The sequence below is a fragment of the Homo sapiens genome, chromosome 1 (genome assembly GCF_000001405.40).
Source record: "Homo sapiens chromosome 1, GRCh38.p14 Primary Assembly".
In the NCBI taxonomy this organism is placed as follows: Eukaryota; Metazoa; Chordata; class Mammalia; order Primates; family Hominidae; genus Homo; species Homo sapiens.
The window spans coordinates 198,185,178-198,212,219 of NC_000001.11; the positions used below are offsets into that span (position 1 = coordinate 198,185,178).

A 27,042-nucleotide genomic window follows, 5' to 3' on the forward strand; every position below is an offset into this window, starting at 1 on the left:
TACATGCTGTCTATTTTTTTTTTTTTTTTTTTTTTTGGTCAGAAGAGAGGCTTTTTGCTTAGTGATTCTGTGTTTGAACTTTGTTCTTCATAAATAGTGTCCATCAGTTGAGATAAGCCAGATTTTCTGGCAGATATTTGCGTTTTTAAAGAAGTGTTTTCAATGATTGGCGTCTTCTTTTGTGTGTTGTCCAAATTTGTGAAATTGCGTAAGAAATATATATATATTTTTAACTTTATATTCCTCTAGCAGGGAGCAAGTGAATTATCTCATGTCTAAAAATGCCTCAGTAGAGCTTTATTGGTAGATCTATGAAAGTCTTACTCTGACTTGTAGAACTAGATATCTAATTTAAGTTACAGTGTTCTAATATTTTAAAAATTAGAAATTTGTAAGAAACACCTTATTTTGACATATTGAAAGTTGCCAGCCACCTCTGACCATCCATGAAATGTAAGCTTTATAATGAGTGTGAGGACCAAACAGTACCTCCCATCTATAGGTAGTGCTGCCTGGAATGTCCTCTCTGCCCCATTTTCTCTTCTCTTGATTTTATTAAAATTGGGGCAAGGAGTGCTGAGTACCAGGATGGCAAGGAGTACTGAGAACTATGATTTTATTAAAATTGACAGAAGAGGAAATGGGGCAGAGAAGGCATTATTTGTTCAGTTTGATTGGTGATTGGTTGCTGGTTGTCTTCCAGATTAGTTGTCATTTTTATTTCAGTTTCATCAGGCTGTACCAGTAGGCACGTTCTGAAATATTAAAAGTGAAAATGAAAATCTATAAATCATCTTTTTTTGCTAAAACTCATACACATAGTCTTGGATCTAGAAGATAATCTTATCTCGAAGGAGCTATGCTGCAGCCCTTGACTAGCTGGAAGATTTATGTTAGCAGATCACCTTTCTAATGGTCATGTTACTTAACTTATGGCAAATATGTTTAGAACAGTAAAATGATCAACAGAAATTATTTTTACTTGTGAAAGGATGTATTTGAAATTATTTCTTTAGCTACTGAAATATTTCTGCTTACTTATTTTCTGTTTAGCAATGAATTCAAGTGATGTTAAGGCATATCGGTTGTATGTGATGTATGGCAAACTATAATATTGAAACCATTAAATATTTAGATTTATTAAACTTCCCTTTACCTTTAGAATTTCCTTTAAAAGTTTCAAAGGCCAGGATATTGTGTAAAGAGCAAAAGAGCAAGTTTTTGTTTTGTTTTGTTTTGTTTTGTATTGTTATTTGCCAGTTATCATACAGGCTGGCAAGGAATGCTGAGACCTGCTTTGCAGTTCTTTGACCTACTGGATTGCCTACATAACTAGCTACAGAAGTAGCTCAAAGATACAGGATGGCTGGTGCATTTGTTGTTTGGCATACTTGGTAAGGATGTACAAGGATGTGTGGGCCCCATGACAGACAGTCTTTCCTGACAGTCCAACCTTTGCCCATACACATTCTTGGTTGAACTCAAATTTTCATATGAGTATACCACCCCATCAGCAATTCAGATTAGATATGCTGTCAGGTGCTGAGGAAAAATTCATCCAGTTTATCTCATACAACACTTGATGAGGACAATTATCAACAGAATGAGGCCAACCTGCAGTATTCACCTCAACCATGTACCCTAGGATTCTGGACTCAACAAATTAAGTAAAGTCCCAGACAGTACTAGTAGATATTATTTCAGATAATCATTTAGCTCCCTTCCTTATGGGAAGTATGGATTGTTCCATCTGAGCAGTGGTATTAATTCATACATATCTTGGTCAGCCAGCATGTAGTTTAGGCCAGTATGTTATGCATTATGACTTGTACAAAGGAATTTTAAGCTGACCTGCTGATATTCCAGAGTTTGCACAGCCCCATTGCCTGTGGTAACTAAAGTTAAGGATAGATTTCTGACCATTTGCTCTGTGGCATGAATTCCACTGTCAGGGAAAAGTACTTGCACTGCTATGTGGAATGAGAAGCCTGCATGTCCTCTGGGTAGTTTAGCCTAGATGAGGCACATGTTGTCTTCAATATCTAAACAGTCCAATTATGTGCCAGGCTTCCCTTTTGGTAGGTGGGGACTGCAGGGTAAGTAATTTTTCCTTTATTGTCTCAGGGCAGTCAGCATTGCTCCTGAGAATTTGACTCCGATGGCTAGTCCCTATATCTCATCAGGATTAATGAACCACCCCTGGGCCCTCATGTGAGTCAGCATCTCTTCCAAAGCCATTGCCAAGGGAGAAAGGCTTGTTCCACATCTCAGCATTGATGCAAACAGCAGGAGAATTCAGATACTCCCGTGGCTGCTCAGTAAATCTGTTTTGGAACCTGGAGATAAACTGATCTTAATTTTCTGGTACCCAAGGGATTGAGAAAGAGACAGTAGCAATATCCAAGATGGCATACCAGGTGTCATTAGTTTGTGCAGTTGATTCAGTCATGGTCACAATGTCTGGAACACCCAGAGCAACAGGGACAACAACTGAATTCAGTTGGTGAGAATCCACTGTAGGCTGCCAGCTCTCGTTAGTGTCAGTATCTAAAAGAACCATACAAGTTTGGATTGCCCACCTTGACCTTTCTTCCTGAAGTCTTTCCCGTGGGTAGAAAGACTTTGGCTGCATCTCTGGTCCCTTTATCTTTAAAGGATAGCAAATTAGGGTACAAAGGTACAAGGTTATGTAATGGAGGCAATGAAGGAGTAATTTATTCTAAGGTTGCCACTCAGCTTCTTAGTTCCGCTAGTAGAGGGGGATTGATTTCCATGGAGGAATCTGGCTCTATAGAGGCACTTCTGGTTTTAATCAGACTGCTTTGCTTTCAACCAGCTACCTGCTTCAGGGCTCCCATAGCACAATTTCTGGTGCCAATTTTTTGGGTGCTGATCCCATCTGTGTTTGCTTAGGGAATCCTTGTTTTAATAGTCATAGTGACATTGCCTTTTGGCTTTCCAAAAAGTCGTTGTCTATCTCAGCACACTGCTCGCTCTACCTTTTTTTGTTGTTGTTTTGTTTAGGTGAGAACCTGGATTTCATAGAGAATGCAAGGGGTAACACAGTTTTAGAGGAAATGACTAAGTAAGCTGATTAGCTTACCACAACTTCATAGGTGATAAAAGTAGATAAGACTTAGTGATGAAAGCAAGGCAGTTTTTTAAAGCACAGCAAACAGCAGGAGTATCAGCATAGTAGTACCAGTTTTCTTGCCTATAAGTTCAGTGGAGAGAAGTGATGGCCCTTCATGGTGGTTATGCTTGCATGAGTTGTGTGGCAGCTGAGGAGCCCAGAACTAAGGGCTCAGTACTTTTTGTAGCAGCTAGCAGGGAAGCCTGACACCATTGGCAGGGAGTAAGCAGTTGTACTGAAGTCCCTGTAGTTACTTTGACCCGTGCCACTAGCTACATAGAAAGGGCTCAGGGACAGAAGATACTTAGACCTTGTAGTTTTGTCTGCTTCTTGAGGCTGTGCTGCAAACACTTGGCTCTCCTGATATATTATTATCAATATGAAACACCTAAAATATTATAAGAATAGGTATTTTTCAAATAATGTGCATGAAATAGTATAGTAATACTATATCTGAGTTCTGCTTTCAGAGTTAATAAAACACTTGTATAATTTATGTCGCGAAGTCATCCTACTTGGTGAAGTAGGCCAGGAAAGTTGATCATCTCCATTTTGCAGAAAAGAAAACTGATGCTCACAGAGGGTAAGTGGCACGTGGCAGATTATATGTGAAAGTTGTGCAACCAGGCATTGAACCTCATCTGTTTTCTTTTACTATCCTAAATCAAGTGCGCTTGAATGAGTAGAAAGTGATGATTTGTAGGTTATGGATAATATTTACATATCTGAATATTTCAATAAAATTGTTACTCTCTTGAAACTTCAAAATCCTAAGTTAACAGTTTGCCTAGGAAATACATTGGTGTTAAAATTTAGTTCAGTTTATGTGTGGCATGTTACGTATTTTGAATATAAGTCTGAATTAAGATTTTACTGGTATTAGTGTCATATAGGAAAAGAAAGTGGAAAAGAATGCTATTTGAAAGGATTTTTTAAAAACGTTGTTATTTTTGTTTAATTTTCATGTCGTAAGTCCCTAGTTGTATGAACTGACATCTTACAATTAGATAAGTTATATTTAAAGCACAATTGAGAGAAAAAGTTCATATTTATTTGCATCTTTCGAGTTAAAAGAACTAAAGATTCGTTCTAACTCTGAGTGGTATGAACAGTAAGCAGTAGGATACTACTAAGTAGAAGATCATAGTAGTCAGGCTAGTGTTAGGTCAGACTTTCCATTATTAATCCTTCTTTTGGTATATATAACTTTTGGTTGAAAATTCTAAGGAACAATTTGTATACAAATTTTCGGCCTGGGTTGAACAAATATGTCATGACCCACTTACAGGCCTCATTAAACATTTGGATTAATGTTAAGGGCTTTTAAGATGAAGGCAAATTTTATGTTTTAGAATATGTTTTCAAAGTATTTGTTCTTTTGGGACAAACAGCTTAAAGTTATTTTATTCATTCCTTCTGGGGCTGCTTTATTTTTAGTATTAAACTCAGAATAGCTACCAAGCTCAAGTGATAAACTTTAAAAACCTATAAATTGTAATCATTATGAATCAAAACAGCATTTAATCGCAAGAAGCTGTTGGATGTGAATAAAGAATTTGTGTATTAATTGATTAAAAAGTTAAACTTATCTCCAGGTTTCAATGATATTTTTAAAAAGAGAGGAGGGTCATTATTTTGTGGCTACTTAATTATTTAATTTGTATTGCCATATAGGCAAATGTTAAGAATGCAACATCTTGAATAATTCTTTCCTATACTTTGAGTAATTTTATTTTGAAAAATGCTTGCATTTTATTTGAAACACATGAAACAGAAGTATTTTAATGAAAATATTACTGCCACATTAAGTTTTCTGTTCTTGAAGATGTATAAAAATTACCCCATTTTATCTCCCTAACACTATCAGAGTTGCCATCAAAATCCGCTATGAAAACTTATCATTTAGTATATATTAAAGCATTCATCTGGGAACATGTTGTCAGCTTTCAGTCAGTTGCAACAAACAACAGACTTTTAGAGACTCCTCTAAATTTCAGCGTGCCTCCGTCTTCTTAAATCTATACCCCTGATATTTTCTCACACAACAAGTAAACCAACCTAAACTGGCAGAGAGGTGGAATTTTTATGCCAGTATTTTTCTTTAATGCTTTTGGATGACTTAAGCTTTAATAAAATGCATATTTATTAAGAGTATACTGTTTTATGGACTTCTAGAATAAAAATACAGTTTTACTAAATAAAATTGAACAGAATTAATCAGATATTATAGAGAAGACATGCTTCTCTGTGTATTTAGAGGATACTCTCTAAAGTCCCTTGTAACTCTGAATTTTAAAATCTGTGACTCATTCTGGTCCTAGATCATTTTTTTGCATTCTTATAAATGCAAATGTATCTGTAATTAAGTAATTGTTAATGGAATTACAAATTGAGAAATTTAGTAACTTTTCCTAGGAATGGTTTGTTTCTTTTTTATTTCTACCGTTATTAGGAGAGTGGCCCTGAAAGAGAAGGATGATAATTTTTTTTGTTTTATTTCCAACATATGGAATTTGTTATAATCTTCTTAGAATCTTGGCTTTTCTAGACTAGTAGAAGGATTTTGCTATGCTTCCTATTAGATAAATAGTAAAGAGGTGGTCATGAGTTTTATATAGTACTTTGTTTAGTGCATTTGCTTTTATTTCATACTTTGATGTATTCATATCATTTATAGATTTTTTAGAGTGTTTTGAAACAAGTAGTAACATCAACACTTAAGTTTACAAAATATTTTTTTTCTAACTCAGTAGATCAAACAGGGAAACTAACACATCAAGGGGTCCTAGGCCTTTAATCCCGCTGGGTCCTGGCAGAAGTGAAATGCTCTTTTCACTATGTGGCTATTACAAACTGTGCTGTCCTGAACATTTTTGTATGTCTTTGTGCATATGTTAGAGTTTTTTTGGAGTATATACTAGGAGAAGAATTGGTGGGTTGTAGGGATGTTGTCCTTCAAATATTTCTGCCTGTAGTATATGTGAGTTCCAGCTGTTCCATATCCTTGTTTTATTTTGACAGAATTTAATTTTTTTAGCCCATCTGATAAGTATGAAGTGGTATCCTGTTGTTTAATTTGCATCTCCCTGATTTGTGATGAGATTGAGAATATTTTCATATGCTCTTCTACAAATTACTTGTTAATGTCTTTTGCCAGTTAAAAAAAATTAGGTTGACTTTCGCGTATTGATTTTTTTCATAAATCCTAGATATGAATTCTAAGTTGTATGCATTGTACATATTCTTTTTATTGATCTGTGACTTTTCTTTGTACTTTTTAAATTACCTCTCTTGATGAACAGATATTTCTAATTTTAATGTAATTAAATTTGTTAGTCGTTTTTTTATAGTTTGTAATACTTGTCCTGAAGTGTATTTTTCTTTACCTAGATGTTGTGAAGAAATACTTGTCTATTTTCTTCAAAAAGTTGTAAAGTTCTGCTTTTCATATTTAGTTCTTTAATCTGCTCTGTATAGTACAAGGTGGTAATCCTTTGTTTCTGTGTGTGTACGTGTGTATGTATTTATTGATTCAAAATAATTGATAACCAGCTATCCTGATACCATTGATTGAATAGTCTATACTTCATCCACTTGCTTGTAATGCCACTTGTCTCAAAGATTTTTCCTGCATAGTAGTTCCAATGTTCTCCCTGTCTTTTCCTGCTTCAATTGCCCTTTCAATAAGCTTGGATCTCTATTTAGGAAAGGCCCTTTACCTTGGTAAGGGTTTTCAAAAATTTCTTGGCTATTTCTGGCCTCCTTTTTTCATATTTTAGAATTAATTTTTTATATGTACAAATACACATACATACTTTTTTCAGGAAGTTGTTTGTTTTATCTTATGTTTTCAGATTTACTGATGTAAAATTTTTTTTTTATATTCTTCCTTTCTTCCCCCCACATTTCTTATTTGGCTGGATTTGTAGTTATGCTGCTCTGTAATTTTTTATTTATTTTTGCTTTCTCCCTTTTTTTTTTAATTGATCAGTCTCACCATAGATTTGTCTATTTTTATTAATTTTTTTTTTTAAAGAACCAGCTTTTGGTTTTGTTGAATCTGTCTTTGTTTTCTATTTTCTCTATTTCTGCTGTTTGCTTTTTAATTTATTGGTGTGATGTGGAAATTGATTAGATATGGGTGAGATAGGGTTGAATGAAAGATTACTCCAAAGTTTCTTTGGTAGGGACCAGGTAGATGGTGGTATTTACCAGCTGAAGTGGAAATAGTTGGAGGCAATTTGAGGGGAAGATGTGTAGTACTTCTCAGCAAATGCAAAAGAACTGAAATCATAATAAACAGTCTCTTAGATCACAGTCTAGTCAAATTAGAATTCAAGATTAAGAAACACACTCAAAACCACAACTACATGGAAATTGAACAGCCTGCTCCTGAATGACTCCTGGGTAAATAATGAAATTAAGGCAGAAATAAAGAAGTCCTTTGAAACTAATGAGAACAGAGACAACATGTGAGAATCTCTGGGACTCAGCTAAAGCAGTGTTAAGAATGAAATTTATAGCAATAAGTGCCCACATCAAAAAGCTAGAAAGATCTCAAATTGACAACCTAACATCACAACTAAGAGAACTAGATAACCAAGAGCAAACAAACCCCAAAGCTAGCAGAAGACAAGAAATAACCAAGATCAGAGCAGACCTGAAGAAGACAGAGACATGAAAAACTCTTCAAAAAATCAATGAATCCAGGAGCGGTTTTTTTTTTTTTAAACTAATAAAATAGACTGGTAGCTAAACTAATAAAGAAGAAGACAGAAGAATCAAATAGACACAATCAGAAATAATAAGGGGAATATCACCACTGACTCCACAGAAATACAAACAACCATCAGAGAATACTGTAAACACCTCTATGCACATAAACTAGAAAATCTAGAAGAAATGGGTAAGTTGCTGGATGCACACACCCTCCCAAGACTGAACCAGGAAGCAGTTAATCCCTAAATAGACCAATAACGAGTTCTGAAATTGAGGCAGTAATATAAATAGCCTACTAACCAAAAAAAGCCCAGGACCAGACAGATATACAGCTGAAATCTATGGGAGGTACAAAAAGGAGCTGGTACCATTTCTACTGAAACTATTCCAAACAATTGAAAAGGAGGGACTCTTCCCTAACTTATTTTACGAGGCCAGCATCATCCTGATACCAAAACCTGGCATAAATAAAACAAAAAAAGAAAACTTCAGGCCAATATGCCCGATGAACATCAATGCAAAAATCCTCAGTGAAATACTGGCAAACCGAATACAGCAGCACATCAAAAAGCTTATCCACCATGATCAAGTTGGCTTCATCCCTGGGATGCAAGATTGGTTCAACATATGCAAATCAATAAATGTAACCTATAACATAAACAGAACTAAATGATTATCTTAAGAGATGCAGAAAAGGCCTTTGATAAAATTCAGTATCCCTTCATGTTAAAAACTCTCAATCAACTAGGTATTGAAGGAACATACCTCAAAATAAGAGCCATATATGACAAATCCATATATGACAAAAAAGCCATATATGACAGCCAATATCATATTGAATGGGCAAAAGCTGAAGCATTCCCCTGGAAAACTGGCACAAGGCAAGGAAGCCCTCTCTCACCACTCCTATTCAACATAGTATTGGAAATTCTGGCCAGGGCAATCAGGCAAGAGAAGGAAATAAAGGGTATTCAAATAGGAAGAGAGGAAGTCAAATTATCTTTGTTTGCAGATGACATGATTTTATATCTAGAAAACCCCATAGTCTCAGCCCAAAAGCTTCTTAAGCTGATAAGCAACTTCAGCAAAGTCTCAGAATACAAAATCACTTTTGGATACTGATTTTTATGAACTTTATTGGAAATCCGGATGGAGATGTTTAGGAGAGAGGTTGAACTTGAGATGAAGACTCTATTTTTTATTTTTAAGTTAAATTTAATTTCTTTTTGTCTTCTGGAATTTCTAGCTTTTTGCATTTTCTTTTTCTTTCTTTTTTTTTTTTTAAGTTCGGGGCATGTGGCAGGTTTCTTATATAGGTAAACTTGTTTCATGGGGGTTTGTTGTATACATTATTTTGTCACCTGGATATTAAGCCTAGTACCCATTAGTTATTTTTTCTGATTCTCTCCCTCCTCCCACCCTTCACCCTCCAGTAGGCCCCAGTGTCTGTTGTTTCTCTCTATGTGTCTGTTGTTTCCCTCTATGTGTCCATGTGATCTCATCATTTAGGTCCCACTTATAGGGGAGAACAAGTGGTATTTGGTTTTCTGTTCCTGAATCAGTTTTCTAAGGTCAGTGGCCTCCAACTCCATCCATATTCCCACAAAGGACATAATCTCCTTCTTTTTTATGACTGCATGGTATTCCATGATGTATATTTACCACATTTTCTTTATCCAGTCTACCAATAATGGCCATTTAGGTTGATTCTATGTCTTTGCTGTTGTGAATAGTGCTGCAGTGAACATACAGGAGCATGTGTCTTTATGATAGAACAATTTATATTCCTTTGGGTATATAACCAGTAATGGGATTGCTGGGTTGAATGGTATTTTTGTTTTTAGGTTTGAAGAATCGCCACACTGTTTTCCACAGTCGTTGAACTGATTTACACTTCCACCGACAGTGTATAAGTGTTCCTTTTTCTCCACAACCTTGCCAGCACCTGTTATTTTTTGACTTTTTAATAATAGCCTTTTGACTTTTTAATAGTAGCCACTTTGACTGGTGTGAGACGAAGATATTGATATTTGATATTGACAGTGGAGAGTAGCTGGAAGAAAGGGGAAGACAAAAGGAGTTTTTTTGGGGAAGGTTTAGTGGGAAGCTTTTCTGGCTTGTCACCATCTGTATTTCTATTTTATTAAAAAAATTCTGAATTGCTAGGGCGATTGGGCATATATTTACAATAACTGACATGTAAGTACCTTTCAGTAGACTAAAAAAAAACAGGGAGTTGTCACCTTCCCCTAGGGCCTAGCACAGGTGAAACATTTTAAATGCATTTGTGGAATCAACCCTTGACTCTCCACAAGAGTATACATACTGTTCTGTCATTTACACATGATTTAAAAGGAATGTATTATGGATGCTTATTCTAGAGGATTCTAGAAAATACCCATTTAACCATATATCCCCCATTGCCTTGAACTGTTTAATATAAATAGAGAGCAAATATTGACTTTTTAAATCAAATTTTAACTTGTCTTTGAAATTTAACCTGAATATGGGCCAGGCGTGGTGGCTCATGCCTGTGATCCCAGCACTTTGGGAGGCCGAGGTGGCCGGATCACCTGAGGTCAGGTGTTCGAGACCAGCCTGGCCAACATGGTGAAACCCCATCTCCACTACAACAAAATACAAAAATTAGCCAGGTGTGGTGGTGCACATCTGTAATCCCAGCTACTTGGGAGGCTGAGGCAGGAGAATAGCTTGAACCCGGGAGGCGGAAGTTGCAGTGAGCTGAGATTGCGCCACTGCACTCCAGCCTTGGTGAGTGGGACTCCATCTCAAAAAGAAATTTAACCCGAATATGCACTACTATTTTAAATGTATTATGATTTATATTAATTTAATAAATAGAAGACATTTATTAATCTGTATTTAAGGAAGATAAGTAATTTTCTTCCAATGGTCTGAGATATTTCTTTTAATAAAAGGTTATCTATAAATATATCTTCTGTTATTGTTCCTGCTACCAGAAGACATTTTTCTTCGCAGATTTTGGTCTTAGTATGATGATTAAGATAAAGTTAATAATTTATTAATTGAAAGTGAGTCAGACTCTTATCCATTACTATATTCTAGGAAAATTGGAAAGTTTAATGTTATTAATTCTAAAGCTAAGCTTAATGCTTCTGAGAAGCTCAAAGGGCATTATTGCTTATAGACCAATGTCTACAAAGCTGTATTTAAGTCAGGAAAGGGTTATCACAAGCTGATTTAGTGCAGCAACCAAGTAAAAGATGCATGAGAACAGAGTTCTCAGGTGACTTCTTGATGTTTCTGTAAATTATCTGTCTGGCTTTGGAATAAGCACTTATTTGTGGAAAATGTATTATTTACAGTTTGGAGTAAATGTTCATAGAAAAGTTACCCAGTTTGATGCTTTGTCGAGAGCTGGATTTAAGTTTAAATCTTGGTTCCCCACTTGCTAGCTGTGTGACGTATCTGTTAGGAATAGATTTAGCTTTAAGTAGTAACAGTGGCAAAACTACAAAGGGGTTTATTTTTCTCACATAATGAGAAATCTTTTTCAGTGACAGTAATTATAGTAATGTTCAGCGATGCCAGGGCTGGAATCTCTGTGATTCTTCGAACTTTTTCTCATAAAGAAAACCTGGCTGCTTTAGCTTGAGGCGTCATATCCACATGGTGGGCTGGGAGAAAGGAGGGAAGGGCAAAGGCAGCTTTTATCAGGACAAGATAATTTTGCTTATGTCTTTGGCCAAGTCCAGGTTATGTGGTTAAGTCCAGCTGAAAGACTGGCTGGCAGATGAGTAATTAGCTTTTTAGCGGCTGAGGTAGAGGCATGCAAGGAAGAGTTTGGGAATGGACGTGGGGTTGGTCAGTCTACAGAGTCTGCCACAGTGACCATGAGTGCCACTGGTAACCTGAATAAGCCTCACTTTTCTCTTGGGTATAGTAATAGAACCACTGGGGGTGGGACTTGGACTTTTTGTGTACCACTAAATCTCTAGCATCTAACACAAGGCCTGGCAGATGTATTTGTTTGGTGAATTAATACATGAAGATTATCATGAGAATTATATGAGGTATATAAGGTACTTGGCCCGGTACTTGGCACATAGTAGTATATAAATGGTATCTACTTTAGTGTTCAAGCTATGTAGAAATATAAATTTCTGTAATGTAATTATATTTGTTTTATTAGTCATTTACTGTATAATATTGCAGTTTCATTAGTTTCTTGACAGTTAACATTTCTAATAAAGAATAGTTTTTGACTGGTGTGGTCTTTGCCTACTATGTAGATACAGTGACAAAGATAGAGAAAGAATTAATGTATGTGAATACCAATATGATAAGATACTGTGAAGTTTCTTAATAAAGCACTTTTCTTTGAAAATGTGGATTGGATATAATTGCTTTTTTAAGAAATTTTTTATCGAAGTGCAACAAACAAATAGTACATTACATATTTAAGTGTACAGCTCAGCAATTTTTTTTCAAATTTGTTTTCAACATTTAGTTTATCATCTTCAAAAAATAGCTCCCCTGCTTAACTCATTAGCTGTATGATCTATCCAAGCAGCAAGAAGATGGTCATGCCATGGCAATCCTCTTCCCATTTTCCCTAGCCACTCAGGGCTGAACAGCAGGGTTAGGCTCAGGTGGGGGTAGGGGTGGGGAGCCCAAGGGCTACTTTCCCCTGGTACAATATGGCATCTGAAGTTCGATGGGAGAACAGAACTGGTGAGACTTGAGGGTAAGGTCCAGGGCCTGTATTCAGTCAGAGTCACTGATGGAAGAGGAGGAGGAATGCTTGCCATGCTCGTGGTGCTTGTGCATCTTTTTGTGAGCTTTCTTCATTTTCATCTGCATCTTCTTGTCCTCTATCACTCCTAGTCCGAACATGCCAGGAGCCAAGGGATTCACAGGAGGCATCCAGGGGCAGGTGGTGGGTATGGAGGAGGGTAGGGACCCGAGGATTGGCATCCTGGATACCCTGGCTGTGGCACAGGATGAGGGGGCCCACCTGGGGGGAAAGCTGGATTGCCCTGGGAGAGGAAGAAAGGGGCCTTGGGGAAAGGGTGGATTGATAGGTGGTGGGTGGGCAGGATTGGAACCTCCAGGGTACCCTATGGTGGGGGGATATGGATTTGGTCCTGGCTGGCCGGCATTGGGATTCCACATGTTGAGGTGTGTCCTCCAGCCTTTCCACCACCGCCTGGGCTTGATGCATTCTCCTCAGCTCAATACATTTTTAGAAGGGAACCCCCCATGTGACCACACACTAGGTGAAAATGTAGGACATTACGAGCACTGTGGAAGCTTTCCTTGGGCTTCCTTCCCTTGATCCTGGTTACTAGTCCGGTGGCCAAGAGGTGATAAATACTGATGGGACCTGTGTATCCTATGAGGTAGAAGCGCCTGTATTGTCTTCAGGTGAAGGAGGAGTGGGCCTCTTCTGCAGGCCCAGAGAGTTTAAGGTGATCTGGGGTTTCAAGATTTTCAAGCCTGTCGACCCACATGTCGCTATGTAAAGTCTCAGTCTTGGTTCTTCCCAGACAGGATCCTGTGCTTGGAATAGCAGATTTGCCAGGATTGAGTATTCAATGTTAGGTATTCAGGGTTTTTTGGCAATTTGTTGCCCTGATAATTAAATCCTTGGCCTGATTCTCAGCTCTTTCTGCTTTCTAACTGTGAGGAAGATGAGAATCTCTTTCCGTTCTCCACAGAGGCTTTTTAACCTTTCACATGTCACCTCAAATGATTCTCAGTTTTTAATTCCCTCTCCCCACAATTCGTCGGTAGCCCCCAGCAAAAGCTGATTCTGTAGTCCTTATAATTACTACTTCCTGTCAGCCTTTCAGATGCCTGAGATATTTCACCTCCCAATAAATTTCCTTCAGTTGGTATCCTGTGCCCACTTCGTGGTTGGTGAAAGTTTTAATAATTGCACTACTGCTTATGTGGGGGGCTATCCATACTTCCACCTACCATCAGTAATGGGACTCCTCATTACCAACCAGTGATGGAGCTGCAAATTCCCATGTTTGAGTCTGCTTTCTGGTCCACTTTAGTAGCAGCTGTCATTTAGCTGAATTCTCCAGGAAAGATTCAGAGATGGAGATCTGCATATATGGTGTTTATTGTATAATGCTTTTGGGAAGAGCACCATGAAGGAAGCAAGATGGATAGAAGAACCTGAACTGCAATATGGTTGCAGTAGAGGTTGCAGCCAGTCCCCTGGGGGCATTCTGCAGCTAGAACAGCCCTTCAGGAAGTGGTGTAGACCTTTGTTCAGTCACCTTGACCAGTCATTGGATGCAGCTGCTTAGAGAGAGACACAGGTGTGAGCCATCACTCCCTGCAGCTTGGGGAATGAATGCCTTAGTCCTGGAGGGTGATCTGCACAGCACACCATAGTATCCACTGCAGAAGCTTAGATACTGATTTTCAGATTTTCTTTGTTTTCTAGTGCACACATTTAATTAATTAGTTAATTGTGTGGTTTAACTCCTCTCTCTATACTATACTTTTTTTTTTATATTGCTTTTTCTGTTTGCTGCTGGAATTGTTTTTATCCCCTTTTAGTACTATTCGTTTTTGCTTTATATATTCTGGCTATGTTATTCAAATGTGGGATTGTTACGTCTTGCTGACGTGTATCTATTATTTTTATGAAATATTCCTCTTTATTTCTAATTCTTTTGGTCTTAAAAGCTACTTTGTCTAATATAAATAAAGTTACACCAGACTTCTTTTGGCCAGTGTCCACATAGTGTTTCTTTTTCATCTTTCAAAAAATGTTTTTATGTTCTGATATGTAAGACATGTCTTACAAGCAACTTAGAATTAAAAAAAAAGTTAGTTGGATAATTTTTGTTTTTCAATTCGAGCTTTTTGTTCATTCAGTGTCATACTAATATATTTAGATTTAAATCTGTCATCTTATTTGTTTTCTATTGTTCCAACTGCTCTTTGTCCTATTTTGCCTCCTTTCTTGCTCTCCTTTAAGATTACTTAAATTTTTTGCTACTTCTTGCCCCATTACCCTGCTCTTTGTGCATTCATTCATTCTATTGGTGAACACTCTAGAGATTTCAATGCATCTTTGACCTATTAAAACCAATATTTAATTAGGACTTCTATTGTTTTGTGGACAGTGCATTTTTTTCTTTTATAGATTTCAGATTTCTGAGAAATTCTCTATTTTAGTCTAATTTATAGAGCATATTAATCATAATTATTTTAGTTTCTGATTATTCTAAAATCTGGTTCATATATGGGCCTATTTCTGTTGTCCTCCTCCTTATTTTGGTTTCTGTATCCAATTTCTTGGCCAGCTTGCTTTTTTTTCTAATTGTATACCAGATATGTATACGAAAACTTGTTGAGGCTTTAAATGGTACCACCATCTCCAGAGATGATTCAATATTTTTTATTATGAGCATATCTGCTTTAAGTGCAGGCTGATCTGTCTTCAGAGGTCTTGACTGAATGATGAGGGTGTTTACACAGACCTCTGCTCTTTGTTGCTTTCTTTTCTTTCTTTCTTTTTTTTTTTTTTTGGAGATGGGGTCTTGCTCTGTTGCCCAGGCTGGAGTGCAGTGGCATGATCTTGGCTAACTGCAACCTCTGCCACCTGGCTTCAAGTGATTCTCCTGCCTTAGCCTCCTGAGTAGCTGGGACTACAGGCATGTGCTACCAAACCTGGCTAATTTTTGTATTTTTAGTAGAGATGGGGTTTCACCATATTGGCCAGGCTGGTCTCAAACTCCTGACCCCAGATGATCTGCCTGCCTCGGCCTCCCAAAGTGTTGGGATTACAGGCATGAGCCACTGTGCCAGGCCCTTTGGTGCTTTCTATACTCCAGTTTTGTCTCCCTAGCACTGAGTCTGCCAGAAATCTTGGCTTTGCTTTTTATCCTGTTAGCAATGCTTTTGCTTTGGTTTCTTGGATTATTTGGGAGATTACAGACTTAATGGGTGCCCTCTCTGTGGAGATTATGTGTTTATTCATGTTGGCTTGTTGAGATTTATAGGATTTTAGGTAGAGAGTGATTTTTGTGGTACATAATGTGTGGAGTATATTTTCATTGTATATAATTGCTTAATTTCTACTTTTGTTTTTTTAAGTGGAAGAGGGTGCTGTTTTTGTGTGTTGTGTTGACGAGGGGATAACAGAAGCATAAATTAATGAGTCCCACCAGAATTTACTCCATAGGTCATACCTAAATTTATACAGTGGTTGGCCGCAAAGTATTTCAGTTTTATTTTAGGATACACTGAATGGGTCTGTATTCTATGCTGTCTCTTAGAATTGTTTTATTAGTTTCATTTGAAAAGCCAGGAGTATATAGTGGTTTTTTTTAACATATAAAATGTTATGTACTGTGCCTGTTTTTGTAAATAAAGTATTATTGGCACATAGTCACGTATGTCCCTTTATATATTTTTATGGCTGCTTTGCCATTAGAGTTGAACAGTTGGAACAGAGAGCATTTGATGCCTGTGAAGCTTAAAATACTTACTGTCTGACCCTTTACCAAAAGGTTGCTAATTCCTGCTTTAGTTAGCAAACTAAAGTGATTCAGTTCTTTTTATAGAATCCATCATTAATATTCTAAGGAATTGGCTGTAGCTGAAGGAATATATCTTCTCTCTCCTTTTCTTTTGTCCTTATATAATTTTTATGCTCTTCTGCTCCCATTTTCTTCTCTTTCCGGAGCCTCACCCTGTTGATAGTCTTTTAGGAAAATCCAGGTGACACCAAGACACACTTGGAGTTTTTGCACCAGAGATTTGTAAGTATAGAGGAGGAGGCATGTCTTCCGACATAGTGACCATAAACAAGAAACACTTGAAGGTCACAGTCAAGCTTTATTTAAAAATATAGCATATATCGAGATTGGTTTGAGAATTGGGGAACCCTTTGTTCAGCAATGGCTTTTAATAAACTGTGTGGCAATCACAAAGAGCACTGTAGTTTGGATTTAGCACCAAGCTAAAGTTTCATATCTTAGGACAGTTTATTACAATCAATTCATCTCAGGGCATCTAGTCTGCTGACTCTTTTTGGCTTTACCTAAAAAGTCAGAGGTACTTCAGCCACGTCTATTTCCAAACCAGAAATAACTCAGACGTAGCCTCAGCAGCACTAGAGATCCACATTAGTTACACTGGCTTAGGATTTAAATGTTCACAGGCATCAATCATCATATTAATGTTTCAGTGCCGTTGTAGGTGTCGTCAGGAATATTAAAAAAAAAAAATGTGACCCAGCCTTTCTTCACAAGGAGGATTGGAGAGGGCTGGTTTGGCGCTTTCCTCACTTTAGCAATCCCCTGTCAATCATTGAGTAACTTGCCCAAAATCCTGTGTGGAAACTCATTACTGTTAAAGGTGTTATTTTTGGATGGAAGCAAATGATTGTAGCACCTCTAATGCTGTATGCACAGCCTCTCAGGCAGGTGGTGTTCCACGTCCGTGTTCTCCCTTCCAGTTCACTGGTGAGTGTTACCAGAAATCACAGTGGCTACGCTGGTGCTGCTTTTCTCAGAATCTCTCTGTATTAGTCTGTTCTGAAAAAGAAGTCTAATGGAATCATAGTTTCACGTGGCTAGGGAGGCCTCACAATTCATGGTGGAAAGTGAAAGACATGTTTTACATGGCAGCAGATGAGAGAATGAGAGCCAAGCGAAAAGGGAAACCCTTTATAAGACCATCAGATTTTGTGAGACTTATTCACTACCATGAGAGCAACATGGGGGAATCTGCCCCCATGATTCAGTTATTTCCCACTGGGTCCCTCGCACACCACATGGGAATTATGGGAGCTATAATTCAGGATGAGATTTGGGTGGGGACACAGCCAAACCAAATAACTCTCCCTTATCCCAAATGACTCTAGGGTCAGGGATGGGAAGGCTGGAGAAAAAAATGGAAACAATAATACATTGGGAAAACACCTTTCTACCACTTCTTTTTTTTCAGGCTAGAATTGACATATTTGAATTACAAATGCTTTTGGAGTAAAATAAAATACTATGACGTTTTCATGAGTTCTCACATGGCATTTATAACCATCCTTCCCCGCTGCCAGTAATTTCTAAAGTCTGTTAATCTTTGTGATTGGGATGTATTTATATAAAACTGAAGGGGGTGAAATAGATGATATGTCACAAGCCTTTAGATGGAGTGTCACATTAGTTACAGTTAATATTGGCTTAGGGCTGCATTTCTCAAGCCTGGTGCTTGAAACTGTCTTCCTGGATCATCAGTTCCACTGAAGATTTTTTTAAAGAAAAATCTTTTGTATAATGAAGAGGAACATAAAAACAACTCATCTTTAAAAGAAAAAGTAGATTTTGAATGAATTTCTTACTTACATGGACTTGCTTCTGGTTGCACCCCCAGGTACAGGAATAGACTTTATCTTCATTGCTCATGGAAAGGTTTGAGAAGCAATACATTAAGACAAACACACAAGAACTCTGTTACTTTAATGTCTAGGAGAAGTAGAGATTTCTGTCTGTGCGGACATTGGTATCTATTCCAGAGAAGGGAAGCTGATTCTGTTGTGACTCAGACAATCTTACTGAATTTTGGAGAATAAAGCCCCTTTTCATCCAGTGAGGACTGTGAGAAGTAACATCATGTGTTTGAAAACACTTCCTAGTCAGTAAAAACAGGAGCAGTCATGACAGAAATAATAAAACTAACAAAAGAATGAACCTCACCCCCCACATCTAAAGCAGGGGCTGCTAATAAAGAGAGCTCAGAAAAAGACCCATTGGTTTGACCTGTGGCCTAGAAAGTGACAGAGGTTGAATTCATTTTTTTTTTGTGTGTGTGTGTCCTTCCTTCCTTCCTTCCTTCCTGTTTTCTTTTGTAAAATATTTTTTCATAGATCCTTTTTGGGAAAGTAGTAGTCTTTGTATTTTGAGGATACAATGGAAAACTTTAGAGATGAGAGCGGCCAGTTGCAGGGGCTCATGCCCATATCCCAGCACTTTGGGAGCCTGATGTGGAAGGATGACTTGAGGCCAGGATTTGAGACTGGCCTGGGCAGCATAGCGAGATCCTGTCTCTACAAAAAAATTTCTTAAAAATTAGCTGGGCATGTTGGCACGTGCCTGTGAGCCCAGCTACCCGGGAGGCTGGAGCGGGAGGATCTCTGGAGCCCAGGAGTTAGAGGCTGCAGTGAGCCGTGATTGCACCACTGCACTCCAGCCCGTGTGACAGAGTAAGAGTCTGATACAAAAGAATAATACAAAAATAAAAAATAAATATGAGAGCAAGTCATAACACTTATTTTTTGCTGTGCTGTAATGTTGTTACAGTACCTAAAATGGCATATATTGAGATGCTTGATTTCTTTTTGTTTTTAAAGTTTAATGGGTTAGATCTGTATTTGTTATTTTAAAAATGAAACTCAGGGCCCGGCGCGGTGGCTCACGCCTGTAATCCCAGCACTTTGGGAGGCCGAGGCAGGCGGATCACGAGGTCGGGAGATGGAGACCATCCTGGCTAACACGGTGAAACCCTGTCTCTACTAAAAATACAAAAAATTAGCCGGGCAAGGTGGTGGGCGCCTGTAGTCCCAGCTACTCGGGAGGCTGAGGCAGGAGAATGGCATGAACCCAGGGGGCGGAGCCTGCAGTGAGCCAGAGATCGCGCAACTGCACTCCAGCCTGGGCGACAGCGAGACTCCGTCTCAAAAAAAAAAAAAAAAAAAAAGAAACTCAGGTATTTCATTTACAGATATTGGCTGAAATAACTATTCCAAACATTGCAATTTGAGGAATAAAACACATTTTATATAGATTTGTAACTAATGTGTGACTTGAGATCTGTTTTTTAAAAAAAAGGAATGGGGAGATATTCAAGAGACATCCGCGTGTGCCTGGGAGGGATGTTTGTGCTCCCTCCCAATTTTCCTTCTTCTTTTAAAATGTAACATATAATAACAACAATATTAACAACAACTAAAATGCCCCAGGAATAGTCCAGGCCCCTGCTACTGTTGCTGCTCCCCGTCCCCCCTTCCTTCTTCTCCTACTTCCACTAAGTAATCATTCAGTGTCTGTGAATAAAAACCCCATTGCTTATTTTTGTTTGGATCCAATTTATACTCAGAAAGGCACTGAGCATGAGCTGCTTCTTTCATGTTCTTTGCCTGAGTCTAAAACAGCTTTATTAGTGGGGCCAAAAACAGCGGCAGTTTTGGCAGGCATTGCCAAGTGCGCATCACTTTCAATGATACATCTGGATGCAAAGAACTAAACTGAAAATAGAGTGAACCTCCACTCCTATTAAATGAAAATACTGTGCCAGTCTCAAACCTAACTGTGCATGATAATCATCTCTGTACCGTTTTATTTATTTCGAAATACAGAAATGTAGGTCCTACTTCAGACTTACCTAATCATAATCAGGGGTGGAGGTGTTGAGTGGCCCAAGCAGTTATATTTAAAACAAAAAAAGCTCCATGGGTGATTCTGATAGCCAAGCAGGGGTGTGAACTACTTGTTCATAGTATGCACTCAGGATTACTTGGCCCAAAATAATTAGGTTTATATAACTGTATTTGCTCTGGGAGAAACAGATTTAATGTGTAATTAATAAATGAAAAGTATTTACTCATGACATACACTGCACTCACATTTTTTTTTTTTGCTTTCTCATACACATCCTAAGGTACAGTCTCAGATTTGAGTTAATCCTTTTGCCTATTTAATAATGGTACGTGGAGTCTATTTCTTATTAGGTTCACAAAACTACAGAGTAAGAGCGAATAAAAAGATAAGTAAAAAGGCAGCTTACTGTAGCTTTTTTTCCCTTTAAAGTCAGTTTAAAAAAATTTTTTTAATGTTAGGAATATGAAACAAGTTTTTAGAAAGAGGAAAGTACCACTTCTCTTCCATTGTGTTACAGTGGGTTTGGGGGAAAGAGGAGGGAAAGAAGAAAGCAAAATTTTAAGGATTTAGTAAGGATGATATATTATTTATTGTCTTAATTTCATCAGTATGGGATTTGGGGTTTGCTTAAACAAACAAAAGTAGTACCTTGTGTAATATTTTTGAAGACATCATGTTTTTGTGTTTTTGAGTTCTATTAATATGGCCTACTGGTTTTTGCAGTTTAAGTTAAAAAAAAACTGTAACTTTAGTTTCAGAATTAAATGTCAGAATTAAGTCATAAGGCAGAATCAAAATATTAGGTAACAGACTTTGAATTAAGTACATTCATTAGGGAGTGAGTTACAGTAATAACCACAACACTGATTTCAATAAAAATCAGTGAATATGGGAAGTGATTGGCTGATATGTGCTCATTTCGTTTTTGGGTCAGTGGTCCCTTGATTAAAGATTCTGTTTTATGTGCTAGAAGCCTTTGTATTTAGAACTGTTAACGTATCAATATGTAGTAAGGAAGAAGATAAAATTGAACCAGCAGGTGTCAGCAAGAACCAAAATAAAAAATATTAATCCTGATTATCTCAACCTTTATTACTTTTTAGTGATGCTGCAGTGTAAAACAACTTTAAAATGATATTTTAGTGACACATGCCTGCATTCTAAAGTAGAATCTTTCTTTGTCAGTGTATTGCCCTATTGGGAAATGATCAGATATTTTAGAGAATATGTCTGAAATACGGCAACAGCTCCAAAAAGATTTAAAAAAAAAGACAAGTGCTGTGAACTTTTTCTCATTTCAGTGCCTTGAAAAATTTTTTTACATAAATTATCCTATATCCAAAAGCTTATGTTTAACAGTTTTAATATTTCTATGGTTATATGTTATGCATTTTTCAGTATTCCATTCCTATTGATTAGTTAATAACCATAGGCATTTTATAGAAATAAGAGTAGGAATTCATAAACAACTGTCCTCATAGTGGGCTTAATTTTCTGATGAAAATATGGCATTTATATGCTTTCAGCATACAATTTAAGATTTCATTTTAAGTCCATTCTAATTCAGTGAATAGTCAGGGGAAGGTAATGTCTGCTTTTCCAAAGAATTGAAAGGTTCATTACATTTCTCAATTTGTCACAATTTTTATTAAAATCCTATTACTTGTTTCTTCTTTATCACTTGATGAATTGACGAAAATACAAATTCAGTAGGCAAATATGATATCCAGTATTTTTGATAATCTTATTAGAGTAGTAAGCAATAAAATAATGAGTGACAGGAACATCGCCGAGACCACAAAGAAGGTATGTGATAACTCAGGCCAGTCTGAAATACTTTCATTCTCTATGTTTTATTTCTTGTTATGCCAAATAAAGACCTGCTATTTTACATTTATCCTTAACTTATTAAATGTAATACTACCCAGAAATTTGATTCCTAGGTATTTACCAGAGCGTAGAGTGTATTGAAAACTTATGTATGGACTGGTACGCAAATATTTATAATGGCTTTATTCATAATTGTCCTGAACTGGAAACAATGCAGACCCCCCTCAGTTGGAGAATGAATATTGAGATACGTCCATTCAATGGAGTAGTACTCAGCCATAAAAATGAACAAACTGTGTAACCTTGATGAATCTGAAATGCACCATGCTAAGTGAAAGAAGTCATATTCAAAAGGCTTCATTTATATGATATCCTAGAAAAGATAAAACTATAGGGACAGAATACAGATTAGTATTTGTCAAGGATTGGAGGAGGGTTTGACACTGAAAGGACACAGGGGACTTGTATGGGCTGATGGAACTGTTCTATATTTTGATTCTAGTGGTTGATTTCATTACTGAGTTTGTCAAACTTCTAGAAATTGTACATTAAAATGGCAATTTAATTGTATATAAGTTATACCTTAATTTAAAAAGTTCTAAAAATAAATGTTAAAAAGGGACATAGACTGAAAAATAAAAATGAAATAAAGATAATGTTAATATAGTTTTTCTTTTCCCAGACATCCTAATAGAACCCTTAGAACACTTCAACTTCATTTATCTCTCTATTTATGTGTTGGTTGTCATGTATTTCAATTTTAGATACATTTCTAACATGGCAATCACTTTTATCTGTGGTTTCATGTAGATGTTTAATTAAATTTGCCCTGTTGCCATGCTCTTCATTTAACATTTCTTCCTATATCTTTAGCCTTCTATCTGAGGTCATTTTGATTCTGCCTATTCTCTTTGCTATTTTGTGTTCATGTAGTCTTACTTGCTTGAGTGCCTGGCTGTTTTTCATGATGTATTGGATATAGTATGTGCAAAATTGTTTGTACAAATAATCTGGAGCGTAAGATGTTATCTTCCTTCAGATAATTTTTACTTTTTGTCTAGGTAGCTGGGGGCAGTAGCTATCAGAAATCACTTTAATTTTAGGGTTTGAATAAATGTATGAAGTATAATGTGTTTTGTTTGTTTATTTTGGGACAGGGTCTTGCCCTGTCACCCAATCTGAAATGCAGTGGTACGACTGGTGCTGCAACCTTGACCTCCCAAGCTCATGCAGTACTCCCACCTCAGCCTCCTGAGGAGCTGGGACCACAGGCACCTGCCACCACGCCCAGTTTATTATTTTTATTTTTTGTAGAGACCGTGTCTCCCTATGTCGCCCAGGTTGGTAATGCATTTATTAATTAGCTTGATTGAGCTATTGTACAATGTGTGCATATTTCAGAATATGTTTGTATGATAAATATATTCAGCTTTTGTCAATTAAGATAATTTTAGTATTTGAGATAATTTGATGCCGTGAGAAGGCTTGTTTATGATGTTTAAGGCTTTTGAAGTCCTTAGCCAAATCATGGGGATGTTCATTGTAGTCCCTTTTTGAACTCTAGACTACAATTTCTGTTTCTGTGTTTCCAAGAGACTGTAAGAAACGCCATATAGCCTCTTAGCATCTCAACTGCATTTCCACAGTTTGCATAACAGTCAGTGGAAAAAACATGCTTAGATGTTGGGTTCGCTTTTCTTGGCTTCCTTCAGCCCTCAGATACTCTGGACCGCTAATATGTCTCTATTTCATTAGCTCTCTGATGCATTAAAGCATATATGTGTGTGTGTATATATATATATATATATATACACACACACATACGCACATATGTATATATACACACATATGTACACACACATGTAATATACACATATATACACATATGTATGTGTATATATATACTTTTTTTTTTTTTTTGGTAAAACTCTCCTCAGAAGGAGCGCTTGTCTGAACTATTTTGCCACTATGAAAGCAAAGACTGCCTATACTCTTTTTCATACCCATACACACATGCAAATGTGCTTTTCTTAAAAACAGTGTTAAGACAATTTGTACATTTTATTATGCAAAGTGATGTTTTTTATTTAGTAGATTACAGATTCTTAGTAGAATAATTCAGCAAATATTTATTTACTATATGTTTATCCCTGTTCCAAGCACTGTAGGGATAAAGTGATACATAAAAGGATTTCCTAACCTTATTTGGCTTATATTTTGGCAAGGTAGATAGCTTCAACAAATAACTATGCAATTAACTAAATGTAATTTTGATAATGATAAGAATAATATCCTTTGAGTACGTATAACATGGAAATTTGTTTTTGAGTCTTAGTTTTTCATTTCACATTATATTTCATACATTTTAAAATATCACTAAAACATTTAATTTTTCTTTCTTTTACTTTCTCTCTCTCTCTCTTTTTTTTAATAGCAAAGATGGAGTCTCGCTATGTTGCCCAGGCTGGTCCTGAATTCCTAGGCTCAAGCGATCCTCCTGCCTTGGCCTTCCAAAGTGCCTGGGATTACAGGTATGAGCTACCATGCTGGGTCTAATATTTATTTATATTTTTATTTATTTATCTGGAGATGGAGTCTCTCTCTGTCACCCAGGTTGGAGTGCAGGGGCGTGATCTCGACTTACTGCAACTTCTGCCTCCTGGGTTCAAGCAATTCTCATGCATCAGCCTCCCTAATAGCTGGGACTTCCTGGCTATTTTTTGTACTTTAGTAGAGACGGGGTTTCACCATGTTGCCCAGGCTGGTCTTAAACTTCTGAGCTTAGGCAGTCCGCCTGCCTGGGCCTCCCAAGGTGCTAGGATTACAGGTGTGAACACTGCGTCTGGCCTATTTTTATTTTTTTAGGGACAGGGTCCTACTTTGTCACTTAGGCTGGAGTGCAGTGGTGTTATCATAGCTTACCGTAACTTTAAACTCCTGGGTTCAAGTGATCCTCCTGCCTCACCTCCTGAGTAGCTAGGATTATAGGCACATGCCACCATGCCCAGCTGTTTTGTGTGTGTGATGGGGTCTTGCTATGTTGCTTAGGCAGGTCTTGAACTCCTGGCCCCCCAAGTTTTCCTCCCTTGGGCTCCTGAAGTGCTGAGATTGCAGGAGTAAGTCACTGAACCTGTCCTAAAAATTTTAATAAATATTTTCAATCTAGTGTTCTATTTTATGTATTTGCTGTAATTTATTTGGCCATTCTCATATTGTTAGACTTATACTTTGTTTCCAATTTTTAAAAATGATAAATGCTTTTTTAATATGTACCTTCTTATATGTAATCCCAAATTTAGTCACTGATTAATTTTTTTAGAAGAGAATTTTGGGAGTAAGAGTACTGAGTAAAAGTATATGAAAAAATCTTGATATCATTTTTTCTAGAAAGGTTATATACCTATGTAAACATTATATATACTTTGTATAATATTTATTATTTTGATAGGCTATCAACTGTATTATATGTCATTGTCCCTTCAATTTGTATTTCTTTTTTTTTTTTTTTTTTTTTTTTTTTTTGAGACGGAGTCTCGCTCTGTCGCCCAGGCTGGAGTGCAGTGGCGCAATCTTGGCTCACTGCAAGCTCCGCCTCCCGGGTTCACGCCATTCTCCTGCCTCAGCCTCCCAAGTAGCTGGGACTACAGGCGCCCGCCACTACGCCCGGCTAATTTTTTGTATTTTTAGTAGAGACGGGGTTTCACCGTTTTAGCCGGGATGGTCTCGATCTCCTGACCTCGTGATCCGCCCGCCTCGGCCTCCCAAAGTGCAATTTGTATTTCTTTATTAGTGATATTCAACATGCTTTATGGTTATTTCCAATATGTATTTCTTTGTGTCTATTAGGTTGTTAATAAAGTTAAGACAAAATTACTCTGCTTTATGAAGAGAACTATGGGGTTAACATTAAAGTAGGATTAGGTCTTCTAATTCTTTTCCAGTTCTGTGGTTTTATTATTTTATATTTGGATTATCATTTTTAACTTATTTCTTTGTTGAGAATACTTTAAAAAAGCTTTTAGCAATGAGTGTCAGGAAACAGATTCCAGAACCTTATTATTATAGGAAATTATGTATCAGATGAAGAATACTACAGTTATCATTGTTACAAAAGAATGAAATATGAAAACCCTATACACAATTCTCTTTTCCATTGATTACACTCACAGATTACATAGTTTTAAATCTTTGTGAGATCTCAGGCCATTCCTAATGGGTCATTCTGATTTGTGATGTGTGTGTACACATGTGCTTACTTTTCATTATTTTGAGGTGTTTTAATATTTTTAGGGATTTATAGTATCCAAAGTAGCATAAATAATATTTTTAGGAGACAATTTTAGCATAAGATTGAAGAAAGTATAAAAAATAATAGGTTATTGAATTAGAACAGTGATTGAAGAATTTGAAAAATGTTCTATTTTCTGGTGTTAATAATATAGTTCTAATGGAAAAAAAATGCAGTTTTTTTTTGGCAAGATGGCGGACTGGAGGCATCGTTAGCATGCCTTTTCCACTTCGAAAGACAAAACTGTGTGTAAAGGTTCATGCTGTGAACTTTTTTCCAAGAAGCAACACCGGAACTTAACAGGAAAACTGAAAGAAACCACAGACCTTTTGAAAGACGCAGTGGACAGTAGCACCATGAACTGAATGGAAAACTGTCTTCAGACGGTGACACACACTCCCGCAGGGGAGCGGGACAATCCAGGCCATAGGGGAAGGCCTTAACCCTACCCAGTCCTGGAGCTGATGAACTGAGCAATGGGAAGTCTATGAGAAGGAAAGGCATTCGGATGTGTCTTGCGTGCATTCCCAGACTCCAGTGGGATGGGAGCGAAGCCATTCCTGATCCTGTCTCACAGGGGACCTCACGGAAGTCAGCCAGCTAACTCAGGCTCCGGTCACAGGTTGAGAGAAGCTCCCAACTGAGATTTGTGTAGGGATGAACCTCATTGGCTGTAACCGATG

At 37.2% G+C, this 27,042-nt stretch overlaps 1 protein-coding gene and 1 pseudogene across 17 annotated transcripts in view, besides 2 other annotated features; one reads left to right on the plus strand and one right to left on the minus strand.

The window, feature by feature from the left end:
- The window catches only part of NEK7 (NIMA related kinase 7), a 165,423-nt gene that overhangs the window by 28,180 nt on the left and 110,201 nt on the right, over positions 1–27,042 (plus strand). For 2 of the 17 annotated variants that reach the window (XM_047446561.1, XM_047446564.1), the window contains exon 1: positions 24,506–24,602. The exons of the other annotated variants lie outside the window; for them this stretch is intronic. The gene's annotated coding sequence lies outside the window, so the exon portion shown is untranslated. Of the gene's footprint in view, positions 1–24,505; positions 24,603–27,042 lie in introns of those variants that run through there. 17 annotated transcript variants of the gene reach the window in all.
- Positions 12,409–13,064, minus strand: PRR13P1 (proline rich 13 pseudogene 1; annotated as a pseudogene).
- Positions 14,226–14,285: an enhancer, noted in NCBI's record as "active region_2283". NCBI's record gives its function as "activates an Ori minimal core promoter by ATAC-STARR-seq in GM12878 lymphoblastoid cells {active_cell/tissue: GM12878}" and the evidence as "EXISTENCE:reporter gene assay evidence [ECO:0000049][PMID:35858748]".
- Positions 17,467–17,526: an enhancer, noted in NCBI's record as "active region_2284". NCBI's record gives its function as "activates an Ori minimal core promoter by ATAC-STARR-seq in GM12878 lymphoblastoid cells {active_cell/tissue: GM12878}" and the evidence as "EXISTENCE:reporter gene assay evidence [ECO:0000049][PMID:35858748]".